Consider the following 14201-nt stretch of genomic DNA (forward strand, 5'->3'; position numbering starts at 1 on the left):
GCCACTCCCTTCTGCCCTGAGCCTCCTCTCTGCTATCAGGTCTCAGTAAAATGTCGCCTCCTCAGAGAGGCTTTCAGTGATTACCATTTGTAAGAGAGCCCTATCTCCCTAGCTGCTTCAGAACCTGTAATTATTTCATTTATTTGTTTACTCTCTGTCTCTGGGACTGTAATCTCTCTTGTTCATCGTTTTCTCAGGACAGCGTGCCTCACATTCAGTAAATGAAAGACCACTGCTCATTAGGTGAAATTAATATCTGTCTGTGAGTATTAAGGAAGATACGGCGAGTCACCCTGCGCTTTCCACATTATTCCTTAACACTAATTTTTAACCCTGATTTTTGTTTTCTCTGTGATTAGACCTGCCACCAAAAATATTTAAGTACAGTTCTGTGGATTCTGTGGCATAACTATAGCAATATTTCATAAGGAAAAATACTACTTCGAAGAATCAACAGGACTGATAGATAATTCTATACACATTCAGTTCAAATCACGTATTACAATAATCTGTAACTAGCAAAGAGTTCCATGTCTTGGGCAGTGGCCTTCTGCTTTTATGTTGTATTCAAAGTCTGTGAGATTCCAGGGCCATAATGTCTCTGGACATACCCTAGGGGTTTCTGGTGAGCAAGATTTGACCTGAACTTTTCAAGGGCATGTAATTCTTGAGACCCATCTAGTGAGCAGCAGTTCTTGTGATCTGTAAATATCCAGGGTTCTTGTCTCAGCAGATTTCACCTGACTCTCCGAACGACTTGAAGCCCAGAAAATACTAAGATGCCTGTTGTTGGGAAGGCATCCTGACTTCTTGTTGATTCTTTCCCGTTTCCATTGGCTAAGTGTATAGAGCATGCCTGGCTTTTGACTGTCAGAAAGAAGACATGATTATATAGGTACTAGCAGGAATTTTTCTAAAAGAGGGAGGAGAGCCTTGGAGAGAGGTTTTCTCTTTTTTAGTTCCTGGGAAAATTATACTCAGCAGGTTTGTTCAATAAAGTGTTCTTACCACATAGTTTGCACCGTAATGACTTACAAATTGCATGCTAATTTTGTCACAGTTAAATCATTCCAGGCTTTACCTGAAAAGAAAAAGATGGACTCCTTGTAATGAAACAGTATCCACAGGACTTGATGTCTTAAACAGATTTTGTCCTTTGCATTCGAAGCTCATTTAAAGATTTATATGGAAGGGGGTGAAGTGCAGGAGTGAATGTGGGGGGTACGTGCACCTAAAACACTGGGTGAGATGGTAGACAGTGAAACTGTGCGGCTGCCATCGATTCTTCTGCTAACTTGCTGGAAGATTCTGGGGCAAGCTTTGAAAAAGAATCCTGCTGAGAGTTCCTCCCAGCTCCCTTCCCACTGCCAGCTTTTTTTTTTTTTTTTTTTTTGAGACAGGATCTCATTCTGTCACCCAGGCTAGAGTGCAGTGGCATGGCGTGATCACAGCTCACTGCAGCCTCAAACTCCTGGGCTCAAGTAATCCTCCTGCCCCAGCCTCCCGAGTAGCTGAGACCTCAGGTGTGTGCCACCACGCCCAGCTAATGTTTGCATTTTTTTGTAGAGACGAGGTCTTGCTATGTTGCCCAGGGTGTTCTCAAACTCCTGTGCTCAAGCAAACCTCATGCCTCAGCCTCCCAAAGTGCTGGAGTTACAGACCTGAGCCACTGCGCCTAGCCTAGGCTCTTCTTTAAACCTGTGGTTCCCAAACTTTCTCAGTCCATAGATTTGCCAAAACACAGCTTACAGCCAGTAAAACTTGTGACAGGGGGCCTGGGGGCAGAGGACGTCGTGCTTTTACCTCTCTAATACCCAATTTCAACCATTTGCTCATTCACCCTCTACTGCCTCCCTGCCTGCCCCCTTGCCAATCACAATCATCCTTTTTACTCTTGGAAGAGAAGTCAGAGGACCTGAATTCTGGTCCCACACCTCTGCCACTTACCTTGCAGTATGACCTTGGGCACTGTTTTGCCTTCCTGATCCTCTCTGTCCTCATTCAGTGGTGCTAATAGGCTCTCCCCCTACCAAGCTCATAGGCTGGTTGCAAGATCTGATGAGATTGGGGCTAAGTGCCAGGGCCTCCCAAATCTCTGCAGACTCACGTAGCCAGCTGCCACCCGGACATCACCCATAGGCTCTTCTGACTTAGCGAGTCCAAAACCAGGCTTGCGGCCCTAGCCCTGTATAATCTCTTCCCCTACTGCCCATATTAGGGCAGTTTACCAGTTTGACTAGATCAAAAATAGGCATCATCTGTTTACTCCTCTCCCTCCACCTCCCACATCTCATAATCTGGTCCGCTTTACCTCTCATATCTCTGCAGCCTATCCACTTTTCTCTCTCTTTACTACCAACACTTACATTCAGGCTACCATCATTTGTTTTCTTCCATTAGTGCAGCACCCGCCTAACTAACTAGTCTGCCTATCTGTAGGTTTGGGCCCTCCAGTTCATTTTCTACACAGCAACCAGAGATTTTTCTAAAATGTAAATTCATGTATGCACTTCTCCACCCAAACACAGTAAACAGTGGCCTTGCATCGCCCTCGGGATGCAGTCTAACCTCCTGCGCCGGCCTCATGGTGCCTCGCCCAGTTTGGCCCCTGCTGGCTGCTCTAGATACATCCCTCACCCTCGTGATGTACAAAAGCCATTCTGTACCACTCACGCTTCCTGACCTTGTGCTTTCTCAAACCTTCTAGACATTGGCCCATTGCTCCGAACTCTGCCCAGAATACCTCTCTGTGCCATCTTTTCCACATCCCTTTCATGAAGCTGGCTAATGTATTACTCTGTATCCTTCAGAATTTTGGCAAACAAATTAGTCAATAAACATGTATTGAGTGTCTGTCATATACTAAGCATTCTGCTTAGCGTTTCCCTGACAGTTTCTGCAGAAAATCTTCCCTGAGACCACCTGGAGCCCCTCCTGTGTGCCCCAAGTGCACCCTTGCACTGCAGCCTCAGGCTGAAGATCAGGGATGCTGGAGCCAGACTGTGTAGACATAAATCCTGGCTCTGACTCCTACCAGCTGGGTGATTACAATCAAGTTACTTAAACTCTCTGCTTCAGTTTCTTCATCAGTGAAAGGATGAGAATAACAGTACCTATCATGTAGGATTGTGGGGCGGATTAAGTAAATGCAGTATATGTAAATCACTTGGAATATTTCCTGGCACAGGGAAGTATGCCCTAAGTGGTAGCTATTATTACAAGTATTTTGGGCCTGCATGCTTATCTGTCTCTCCCTCTAAACTAACTCTCAGTCTTCACAAATAGGGACTAATCTTACTTACTTTCTCCTTTTCTCCAGTAGGGTTGTCGTTTTCAGCCTTGTATTATTGCATCGCTATCACAGAAGTACTGATTCTCTCAAGACCAGAGTATAAGTTGTCAAAATTCAAGTGAGCAGTCTGTTTTTTTTTTAGCGGGGGATGTAAATTTAGAAATTGACTGAATTTAAGTAAATTTAGAATTTGCATCACACTTGTGATGGCAGCATCATGGTAATATGGAAGGAACATAAGTATGGCGTCATGCAAGCCCAAGGTTAAATCCCAGCTCTGCCACACGTGATCTTTGTTCCCTTGGGAAATGCCTTGCCCTGTGTGTGTGTGTCCATTTTCATGATAGCTTTATTGTAGGGTCATTCTGAAGATTAATGAGATTGTTTGTAAAAGCCTGCAACATGCGTATGTGCTGAGACAGAACTAACATGTAGGCAGTCACTTGTTTGTGGGCAAAGCTGTGGCCTGAGAGCCTTGGATTCTTACCAAAACTGCCATCAGTTTCTTCAGCCTCAGTTTCCCCAGCTAAAAGACTTGCAGTTTCTAGGATTCTTCTCTAATAGTCTGCCCTATTTTAGAAGCTTTTGGAGGAAGATTTGTTTTGCTGGTGTTGATGCTTCTCCCATCTCTAGTTACTTCCCTCTCCCGTGGTTCAAGTTTCTCCCCTTGCTTTGGAAGAAAGAAACTAGCATTTTCCAAATGGTGAGGCAATTCCCACCCATGACTGGAGACCCGAGTGGAGGCTTCAGGTTTCGGCTCTGAGTCATGTCCCGTGTTATTAAGGCAAGAGAGGTTCATGTTGGCTTCATAGCAGCCTCTTTTATGACTGTCTCCTTTTATCAGCAAGGGGCAGCTCACTGCCTGTCAGGGGCAGATTAGAAATGACATCCGCATGCTTATTTGGAGGGCTTGCGACTTGACTGCTGAAAGAGATGGAGGCATGTGCAAAGATGGTGATTTAGTAGTGCTCCCAAGGACAGATTAACATTTAAAATGAGTAAGTGGCTGGAAGAGGGGGAAACACACACACACAACCCTGCGGAAATGGCACCTTGGCGCTACACATACCACCTCCTTGTGTGTCTTTGGAGATGAAGCTGTTTATTTTAGCAGCCCCTAAACAGGCTTATGCTGCTGCGAATTGCAGTCTGTTCTACCGAATGCACCATTCGCTGAATTACCATCTAAGTTTTTATTCTAGCCCTCTCTTATGGAATGAACAAAACAAAACCTACCAGAGTATCTCTCTCTTTTTTTTTTTTCTTAGCTGTCTCAGATTGCATGTGGAATTTGCTGATGTAGCTATAGATTTTTGTTTCCCTTTTAAAAGTTTCTTGAATTTATAGGGAAACTATAGGCCAAGAAGCTAGGTGACCTTACATTTTAATGCTACTGGTTTGCGTTAGTCTCCAGATATGGCATAAAGAAAAATATCCCATCTATTTGTTTATATGCTAATACTATGAAAAGTCCATAAAACATAGACTTTTTCCTTTTTTGAACTATGAAAGTGAACACAGCCTTGGAAACAAATTTGCATGGGTTTCTGTCCTGTTTCTGTTCTGTTTCCTGTTCCCCGTGAGCTTTTTGGCCTTAGGAGAGATTCATCTCTTTAAGCCTCAGTTTCCCATTTGAAAAGTAGAAATAGTAATAGTTTTTACCTCTTGGAGTTCTTGCGAGGAAAAATGAGAAATCCGTGAAAGTGCTTAGCACGGTGACTGGCGCTTAGTAAGGACTCGAGAAATTTCACTATTGTTAGGATTCGGTTTTTGCTGTCATCTCTTGCCAGTGTGAAAGAACTAATAGAGAAGGCCTGGGACTATGGAATCACATTCCACTCAAGTCTCCAACTGAAACCCAATGGTAGTCATTTGGTATCTGTCTCAATTTTTCCATCTGTGAAATCTGAAAATGGTATTTGTTGTACATACCCAACACAGGGCATGTACAGCAGGTAAGATTAATGCAGGTGCCCTGCTTTGCACAGTAAAAAATGCTGCATGAATGCTGAGTTGTCATTGCTTCACAAAGAAGGCAGTCACCTTCAGGCTCTTCAAAGGTGAGAGTTGAGTGAATTGATTTGTGGAAGACTCCCTTTAAATCTTAACTCTCCTGTCTTGTTCAGATACAGTCCAACGTACATATAGATTTTCACTCTGAAGTTTTGTAAAGTGAGAAATATTTACGACACTTAAGGAAGTTACTGGATTCTTGGAACGTCCCTTAAATCTCTGTTCATCATATTCCCATTTGAAGCGTACGTGATTTGCATGCCCCTGTTGTCTTAAAATGGCCTAATGTCACAGCAGATCCAGGGGTTGTGTCTTTGTCACAGGGAAGATGAATTTATTGATGAAAGGATGAGCTAATCATCAGTGTTGGCCATCATGTCCTGTTGCGGTGGTGAAGTGTGTCTCCAGCTTGAGGCATTTCTCATAGTGGCTCCTCTCTCTGGGAACGCCATCAGCCAACATCCTGAATCCATCCACATACCCATACGCAGGTAGAAATCCGTTACAGCTGGCTAGACATGCCACAGATTATCAAAGCCAAAAGGACCTTCAAGAGCACCGGATCAGGGAAACAGGGGTGAGGCACACTGCCACCCTCCCCTCCTGCAGTCAGGGTGGGCATTGCTAGTGATTTCAGGGCTGTTTCCCACTGAGCTTCGCCTCGGCTTCACGACGGTTTTTTGTATCATACTCTGTACTCACTGCAGTGGGTTGAGTTGGCACTTGGGATGAACCCTGTTTGCCTTCCCTGATCTCGTGCAGGCTTCCTGTTTCCAAGCGAAGAAGCTGAGGCCAAGAAAAGTTAAATGACTCACCTAAGGACACTAGTAAATTAGTGTTTGAGCTGGGATCTGATCCCATCTTCTTAGTACTCTGTTCCACCTTGGCAGAGGAACTTATTTGTAGAATGTATATATCATAGTTTAGAGGAGTTCCAGTATCTAATTTGAATGCTTCCTGCACTCACACAAGGTCTCTTGAGGGGCAAAGGAGGCAAGGGGAAGCTGGGTGCCTTCTTTAGAATGGGATATTTGTAACCTGTTAGTTCAGTCCCCATGTGCTAAGGAGGTTGGGCTGCAGGTATGATCTCCACACGGGCCAGCTAACTTCCCTCTGTTCTTTGTCTAGCCATTTTTAAAACATGTCTCATTGGTCAGTGGGGCATAATTCAGTTTTTCCCTACCACTAGAGAAACAAGTCCACTTATATATCTTTAGTGCATAATGGTCAGAGTATTATAGATCAGACTCCTTCACTTCCTCCAGGACCTTTGATGAGGGAAGATATAAGGCAGGGAGAAGCTTGTGATGATAATTTTTTTCTAGAACTTTTACATTGCTTCTCCAGAGACTGAATCCTAGCCATCCGATCATGAGTGGAGTTGACAACAGCCATTTTGGAGTTTCAGGCACCCTTCGAAGTTCTTTCAGATGGCCAGCTCTACCTCATCACACACAGATAGCCAAGGAATCATCTCGAGTCCTTATCTCAAGATCACCTTTCTATGTGGCATCTTGGGGACCCATAAAAGGAGTCAGAAGTGTATTAATCCATTTAGAAGTTGACACTGTCTGTATGGAGTAAGATGGGCAGAGAATAAAGGTGATGCCGTCTTCTTTTTAAAACAGACCAAAACTTGAGAAGATAGAGGACTGCCCACACTTTCTCACTTTCTTGTTTTCCATAATCATTCTGCTTATTTTATTTCCTTTTAAACACTGAGTACACATTTATATTTGGCTTCCCTGAATCCATTCAGCAGTAAATATTCCATGCCACAGAGTTGTAACAGGCTAGATAAGGTGCTATTCTGACAACAGTCAACTTCACTGCATGCTGGTTTCTATGGCACTTCTAAAACTGTCAGGGCAGAAACTTCATCTTCAGAAGCCAATCTCTGTTTCATCTCTGTGCATGTTCAATGCAGCAATGATGATGCCTTTCTTGGAGATGAGCTATAGTCGTATCTCAGATCTACATTTGAAAATTTCACTTTCAAATCATGTGGCCATATGGCTAAAAGTAGAATGTCGCATTGAACATTGTCAGAGTCTTGAAGTTCTGAGGAAAGAGAAGAAAGTGGAGTTTGGCATTGCTCTCTTGAGTTTGTCCTTTCTAAATGACAATATAGAGAAACTAGAAGGTGCAGTGTGTACCTGCCTGGTTAAAAGAAGATCAGATGATGGAGAAAAGTATGAAAATGGAAAAAATCACCAGGGGTACTTCTGACCTAATTAGAGAAACTTAATTTTGCTAAGCTCCATTCTTGAGCCTCCCTATCACTCTAATATTTAATGTCTTCCTTTGTTCTCCAGACAGCTCCGAAATCTATACCCACACAAACATGGTAGCATGAAAAGAGCATGGACTAGGGTTTGAGTCCCAGTTCTGCCACCCACTAGCCTTGAGGAGCTTGTTCTGCCTGAGCCAGCTTCCTCATCTAAAATGGGGGTAAGAATCCCTGCCTCTCAATATTATTATTATTATTATTATTATTATTATTATTATTATTATTATTATTATTATTTGAGACGGAGTTTTGCTCTGTGCCCCAGGCTGAGTGCAGTGGCGTGATCTTGGCTCCCTGCAACTTCTGCCTCCAAGGTTCAAGTGATTCTCCTGCCTCAGCCTCCCAAGTACCTGGGGTTACAGGTGTGCACCACCACTCCTGGTTAATTTTTGAATTTTTAGTAGAAACAGGGTTTCGCCATGATGGCCAGGCTGCTGTCAAACTCCTGGCCTCAAGTGATTCGCCCACCTCAGCCTCCCAAAGTGCTAGGATTACACGTGTGAGCCACAGCGCCTGGCCCCGCTTCTCAATATTTCTGAGAAGTAAAGGAGTTAATATACAGAAGGCCCTTGGCACTATCCTGACACATAGTAAGTCCCCAGTAACACTAGCTGCTCCTCTCTGGTAGGTGGGTAATGATAGCAGTAGTTATTATCCAGACTGCCTCACGCAATGCCTAGTATGTAGTAATCAATCAAAAATAATATGATCTACCGAAAGCTGTGATCTAATAAGCCAAAAAAAAAAAAAAAAAGCCTCCCCTTACCCCTTTCTAATGTTTCCATTAGTGATACTGATGTCTCACTGTTGTTCTCTCTGAGTTGACTTTTCTGTGCCTTTGTGCATGCTCTTATCTCCTCTGCTTGGAATGTCCTTTTCAGCCTGTCAAACTCCTTCAAAATCCAGCTCAGATGTTACATTTTCTTTAAGCACTCCTGACCCCACCCCCCAAATAGACTTAGTCCAGCCTTCTTCTGGGTTCCCACAGCACTCAGTACAGTTTGAAAGGTCCTTTATAATAGTCATTATTACATTTTTCAAAAATAATTTCATATTCATTAACCTCATTAGATTATAAGCACCTCAATTATGTAGACTGTTTTATCACTGCTGTCCCAGCACAGCACCTGGCACAGTTAGCTGTTCAAGACATCTCTGTTGAGTGGGTAAATGAATGAGTTCCACTCCAGGTTCCTGTGTTTGTGACCTCCAGGGGCCTCTTCTCTTCCCTTCCCCTTCTCACGTAGGCTGATGCCCTGGTCTTCCAGCTATGCACTCTACCTGCCTCTCGATGCTCTAAGCCGATGTGTCCATCATTTGGCTGTTTGCATATTCTGATTCATGACATTTTCCTGCACAGTGCTGGCTGACACTCTGTAGCCCATCATATCTGACTTCTCTGGCCAGCCTGTATGCCTACCATCAGCTCGCCCTCCAAGGCACAGTCCTTCCCCGTTTCCTGATGTTTTCACTTCTGCCCCAGCCATGCAAATCTCAGCACACACAGCTCATTAAATAGCTTTGAACCTCTCCCTTCTTTTTTTTTCAATACTGTTTGGCAAATGCTTTCCAAGAGCCTACTAAGGGCTGGGCACAGCGCCTCATGCCTGTAATCCCAGCACTTTGGGAGGCCGAGGCAGTTAGATCACCTGAGGTCAGAGGTTGGAGACCAGCCTGGCCAACATGGTGAAACCACATCTCTACTAAAAATACAAAAATTAGCTGGGTGTGGTGGCAGGCACCTGTAATCTCAGCTACTTGGGAGGCTGAGGCAGGAGAGTCGCTTGAACCCGGCACTCCAGCCTGGGTGACAAGAGCAAAACTCCTTCTCAAAAAAAAAAAAAAGAGCCTACTAAGCAAAAAAATGCTGCACAAGGTGCTTCCTAGGGTACAAAGATGAGCACAGTACAGCTCTTCCTTTCAAGGAACGCACACAAGGAAGAGGCACAGATCTGAATGGCTAGTTCAAGGCAGGCCGTGGGAGGTACCACAACAGAGGTACAAATCCAGGGTGTAGGGGGTTGAAGGACTGAAAAATCATATCTGCTCGGGGTTCTCAGGGAACATTTTGTGAGGCACATCACGTTGTAGACTTTCAATATATGATGATAGAGACTGAGGAGTGGGCGGTACCAACATGAGCAAGGCGAGGAGACCAGGAAGGGAACACAGGCCTGTCTGGGCTGGGCTGGGGTGAGGGGGAGTGAGCAGAGAGTATGGCCAACACAAGTCGTTTCTTGTAGGGCCCTCACACAACGCGAAGACCATACCTCTAAGGTGCTCCATTCTGCTGTCTCTGCCCATCACTCGCCCTGAAACCTTACCCAAAAGTCACTTCTTCCAGGACGCCCTTACATTTCACCCAACCCCAATCAGCACCTATCACTTACAATTTTTTTAACATGTGGGCACACTATACTTACTTTCTGGCCATTTCCTAGAAGTTTGTGACTTCCACCGACCTCTTCAGTGGTTAAAACCAGGGCTTCCCTTACCTCCATTTTCCTTATTTTTCTGCCCTAATTCAGTGCTTAGGGTAGTGTTCTTGCCATTAGGCACTTAGTAGGGCCAGAGTTCTCAACACTGTACCAAGTTACTCATTTCCATATCAAAGATGAATCAGACACGATTCCTATCCCTGGGGAATCCGTTTTCTAGCAACTGGTAATTATGAGCAACTTAACCTCTGTGTGCTTTGGTTTGTAATTCATACAGTGGGATGAATAATCTCTTCTCTGCCCTTTTAAAATTTCGTAGTAACTGCTGAACACTTCAGAGTTCTCGAGCAGGAAGTCATGATTATGAGCAAATGAGAAACTAAAGAGAACGTTCTATTTTTAAACTCGTTGGACATGAGTCCAGTGCTCCATGACTACCTCGTGAACATTAATGCTATTACCAGATTACCAATGAATTTGCTACTAAATGAAGCTAGGAATTAGTGTTAGTGATTTGCCAGGCAGTGCAGGGCCTAGCAGTCTGCAGGCCAAAGAGGGTTCAGGTTTTGTCAGGGGCGCATGCTGCATTTCACACATCCAACACCCCCCAGGCCAAAGCTCTGATAAGTCACAGGAGTCTCCTTTGTAACCCTAGACCTCTCAGACTTGCTGTCCTCATATCCAGTCCTCCCAAGTAGATTCACTCATTTCCACATCAAAGATAGAGGCCTCATAGGAGCCGAGATGAAAAGTAGCCTTGTGTTGCTACAGGCTGGCCCCCTGGGCAAATAAAGAAGTGCATTATCTGTGTCTAAATAGTCTCTGAAGGATTCTCGGTGGAGATTGATGACCATAGTGGTGAGTTCTTTGAATGTGGAAGAGTGGAAAGCAGGATCTCAAGGGCTTCCCATCAGTGACAGGAGCCCAAGTTGTCAGAAGGAACGGTGGCCATAAAGCTACCAACAGAATTATGAAATGGATTGTTGCCATCAGAAGCATGTATTGAGCACGTGCCTTCTTAGGCCCATGGGCTAGTCACGCAGAACAAGTCCCCACACCGAGTTCTCACTCCTGAGAGCTCATAGCCCAAACCAGATGTCTGACTGGATGCAATCGTTCACACCTGTAATCCCATCACTTTGGGAGGCCAAGGCGGGAGGATCACTTGAACCTAGGAGCTCAAAGAACAGCCGAGGCAACATAGTGAGACCCTGTCTCTACACACACAAAAAAGTTTTAATTAGCTGAGTGTGGTGGCATGCACCTGTAGTCCTAGCTATTTGAGAGGCTAAGGTGGGAGGATCACTGGAGCCCAGAAAGTCGAGACTGCAATGAGCTGTCATTATGCCACTGCACTCCAGACTGGATGACAGTAAGACCCTGTCTCAAACAAACAAAACAAAAAAACAGAGATGTCTTTTTTCCTCTCATTGTCTCATTGGCTGCATAGATGTGTACTGAGCTAGGGCCCTACCTTCACAGAGCTCACAGTCCACTCTCATGAAATAAAGGCTGCAGACAGAGATAGCTGGTGGGGACTGAAGTCAGTATGAAGATGATGGGGAGGAGAGGAGGTCATGTTGCAGAGTGGTTTGTCAAGGTGCTCTCAGCAATTTTAGAAAGGAGCAGTTGTTAGCCTTAAAATCAGGAAAGCCTTTGTTATGGACATAGCTGAAAAATGATGTGAACTTGAACCATACCCCGGAATCCCAAGGGGGGAAGGCAGTAGGGCCCTGAGCTGTCTTGGCAGAAGTGTTCACAGTGCCCAGGATGAGGGGCGAGAGGATTGGGGTTGGGGGATGGTAAAGATGTTAAAAATTGATTGCACAACTCAACATATAAAAGCTGTTAGATTGTACACTTTCAGTGGATGAATTGTATAGTATGTGAATTATATCTCAGTAAAGCTGGGTTTTTTGTTTTTGTTTTTGTTTTTTTAAAGGAATCTACTAGGGAGGACTGGATATGAGGACAGCAAGTCTGAGAGGTCTAGGGTTACAAAGGAGACTCCTGTGACTTAATTAGGGCTTTGGCCTGGGGAGTGTTGGACGTGTGAAATGCAGCATGCCCTCTGACAAAACACCTAAGCCAGAGGGCATATGTACGCAAGTTGGGTGCCTGTGCCATTGGTTTCAGAGTTGTGGAGAAAGGGGACCTTTCTCCCCTGTGTTTAACCTGATTTGGAAGGCAGATTTAAGTATACAGATGCTCCTCAGCTTACGATAACATTGCATCCTGATAAACCCACCATAAATTGAAAATATCATGAGTTGAAAATGCGTGGCTGCCAGGCGTGGTGTCTCACACCTGTAATCCTAGCACTTTGGGAGGCCAAGGTCAGGAGTTCAAGACCAGCCTGGCCAACATGGAGAACTCTTGTCTCTACTAAAAATACAAAAATTAGCTGGGCGTGGTGGCACGTGCCTGTAATCCCAGCTACTCAGGAGGCTGAGGCAGGAGAATCGCATGAACCAGGGAGGCGGAGGTTGCAGTGTGCCGAGATCGCGCCTTTGCACTCCAGCCTGGGGGACAAGAGCAAAACTCCATCTCAAAAAAAAAAAAAAAGAAAAGAAAATGCTTGACTGACTGGGACCTGAGGCTCGTTGCCACTACCAGCCTTGCAGGAGAAGTACAGTTTCTACTGCATGCCTGTCACTCTTACCTCATCATAAAGTCGATCCATGGTAGGTCAGGGGCCAACTGTATCTTACAGAGAGATTATTTATGGAGGCCCAAACCAAAGAGTGAAAAATGAGTGGAAGCAGATAAATAGCTTGGATTTGTGTCCCGTCAGCTTGTTTTTTTTTTTTTTAGCTTTTTTTATATGTGGATGAGATCATATTGGCCCTGATTCGTCAGATAGGAAAAAATAGGCTTTAAGCTTGCCTCCTGGGGCCTCTATAGTCCATTAAGAATGAAGAACATGAAAGATACTTTAAAGGGAGATGTAGACAAATCAAAAAGATGAGGTGATTTTCTTTTGCTGTTGTTATAGTTGCTATTGTTGTGTGTATTATGGCCAGACTAGGAGTCCATTCTTTCCTCCCATTCACTGTCCAGCTTTTATTCCTAAACGTTCATTTGTTTCTAGGACATGGTCCGGCGAGGAGAGATCATCGACAATGACACCGAGGAGGAGTTCTACCTCCGGCGCCTGGATGCGGGGCTCTTTGTTCTCCAGCACATCTGCTACATCATGGCCGAGATCTGCAATGCCAATGTCCCCCAGGTAGGAGGGTCTTCCCCTGGATGGGCTTATCCATCCCTGCCTCCTTCCTCGCCAGCTGCTTAGGTGGACTCTCACTCAGGGAAAGAAGGGGGTCACGCTCTCCTTGAATTCCTTTACTCTACATCAGCCTTTTGTTTCAGGGATGGGGTGAAGTATATCATTTCAAGGTGATACATTCTGGTGTGTCAGGACAAATGGTTGTCTTTCTTTCTCTACCCATTTTTTCCCTTATTAGATTCGCCAGAGGGTTCACCAGATCCTAAACATGCGAGGAAGCTCCATCAAAATTGTCAGGCATATCATCAAGGGTGAGTTGGATGCTACTCATGTCTGGGGCTCCAGAGGATTAGATGATGCTTACTTTCTGAGCCTCTGTCAGTATCCCTGGTATTTGATGTGGAGCGTTTTCTGCACTGAAAGCTTAAGTTGTTGTCCATTTCACTGTGTGTCCAGGTCGTCTTTGTCAGAATACGGAAGACTAGCCTTGTTGTTCTCTGCCTCTTACCCTCCAGTTCCAGAACTTACACCCATAAACAAGAGGCACAAAGGCTTGAAACAGTTGTTAAAATTTTTTAAAAAAGCAAAACAAAAAATTCAATTCCAAACTACACATAGTGGAAGGAAATTGCTTTCTTAGGGAAAAAAAGCAAGGAAATGACAAGAAATACAAACGTCCTTTCTTATCCACAGTTTTGCTTTCAGTTACACACAGTCAACTGTCCAGAAATAGATAAGTACAGTACAATAAGATATTTTGAGAGAGGCCACATTCATATAACTTTTTTATAGTATATTGTTATAATTGTTCTGTTTTATTTAGTTATTGTTGTTAATCTCTTACTGTGCCTAATTTATAAATTAACCTTTATCATAGTTGTGTAGTTATCATAGGTGTGTATCTATAGGGAAAAACATAGTGTACATAGGTTTCAGTACTGT

The 14201-nt window shown here is 44.3% G+C and overlaps 1 protein-coding gene across 4 annotated transcripts in view, besides 1 other annotated feature; it reads left to right on the plus strand.

Annotated features, from left to right (window-relative positions):
- The window catches only part of CTNNBL1 (catenin beta like 1), a 178089-nt gene that overhangs the window by 152745 nt on the left and 11143 nt on the right, over positions 1 to 14201 (plus strand). For all 4 annotated transcript variants that reach the window (XM_024451947.2, NM_001281495.2, NM_030877.5 and 1 more), the window contains 2 exons: positions 13125 to 13262; positions 13498 to 13570. In XM_024451947.2, the coding sequence (XP_024307715.1) occupies positions 13125 to 13262; positions 13498 to 13570 (211 nt within the window). The remainder of the gene's footprint in view (positions 1 to 13124; positions 13263 to 13497; positions 13571 to 14201) is intronic.
- Positions 7071 to 7190: an enhancer, noted in NCBI's record as "active region_17851". NCBI's record gives its function as "activates an Ori minimal core promoter by ATAC-STARR-seq in GM12878 lymphoblastoid cells {active_cell/tissue: GM12878}" and the evidence as "EXISTENCE:reporter gene assay evidence [ECO:0000049][PMID:35858748]".

The sequence above is a fragment of the Homo sapiens genome, chromosome 20 (genome assembly GCF_000001405.40).
Source record: "Homo sapiens chromosome 20, GRCh38.p14 Primary Assembly".
Taxonomy (NCBI): domain Eukaryota; kingdom Metazoa; phylum Chordata; class Mammalia; order Primates; family Hominidae; genus Homo; species Homo sapiens.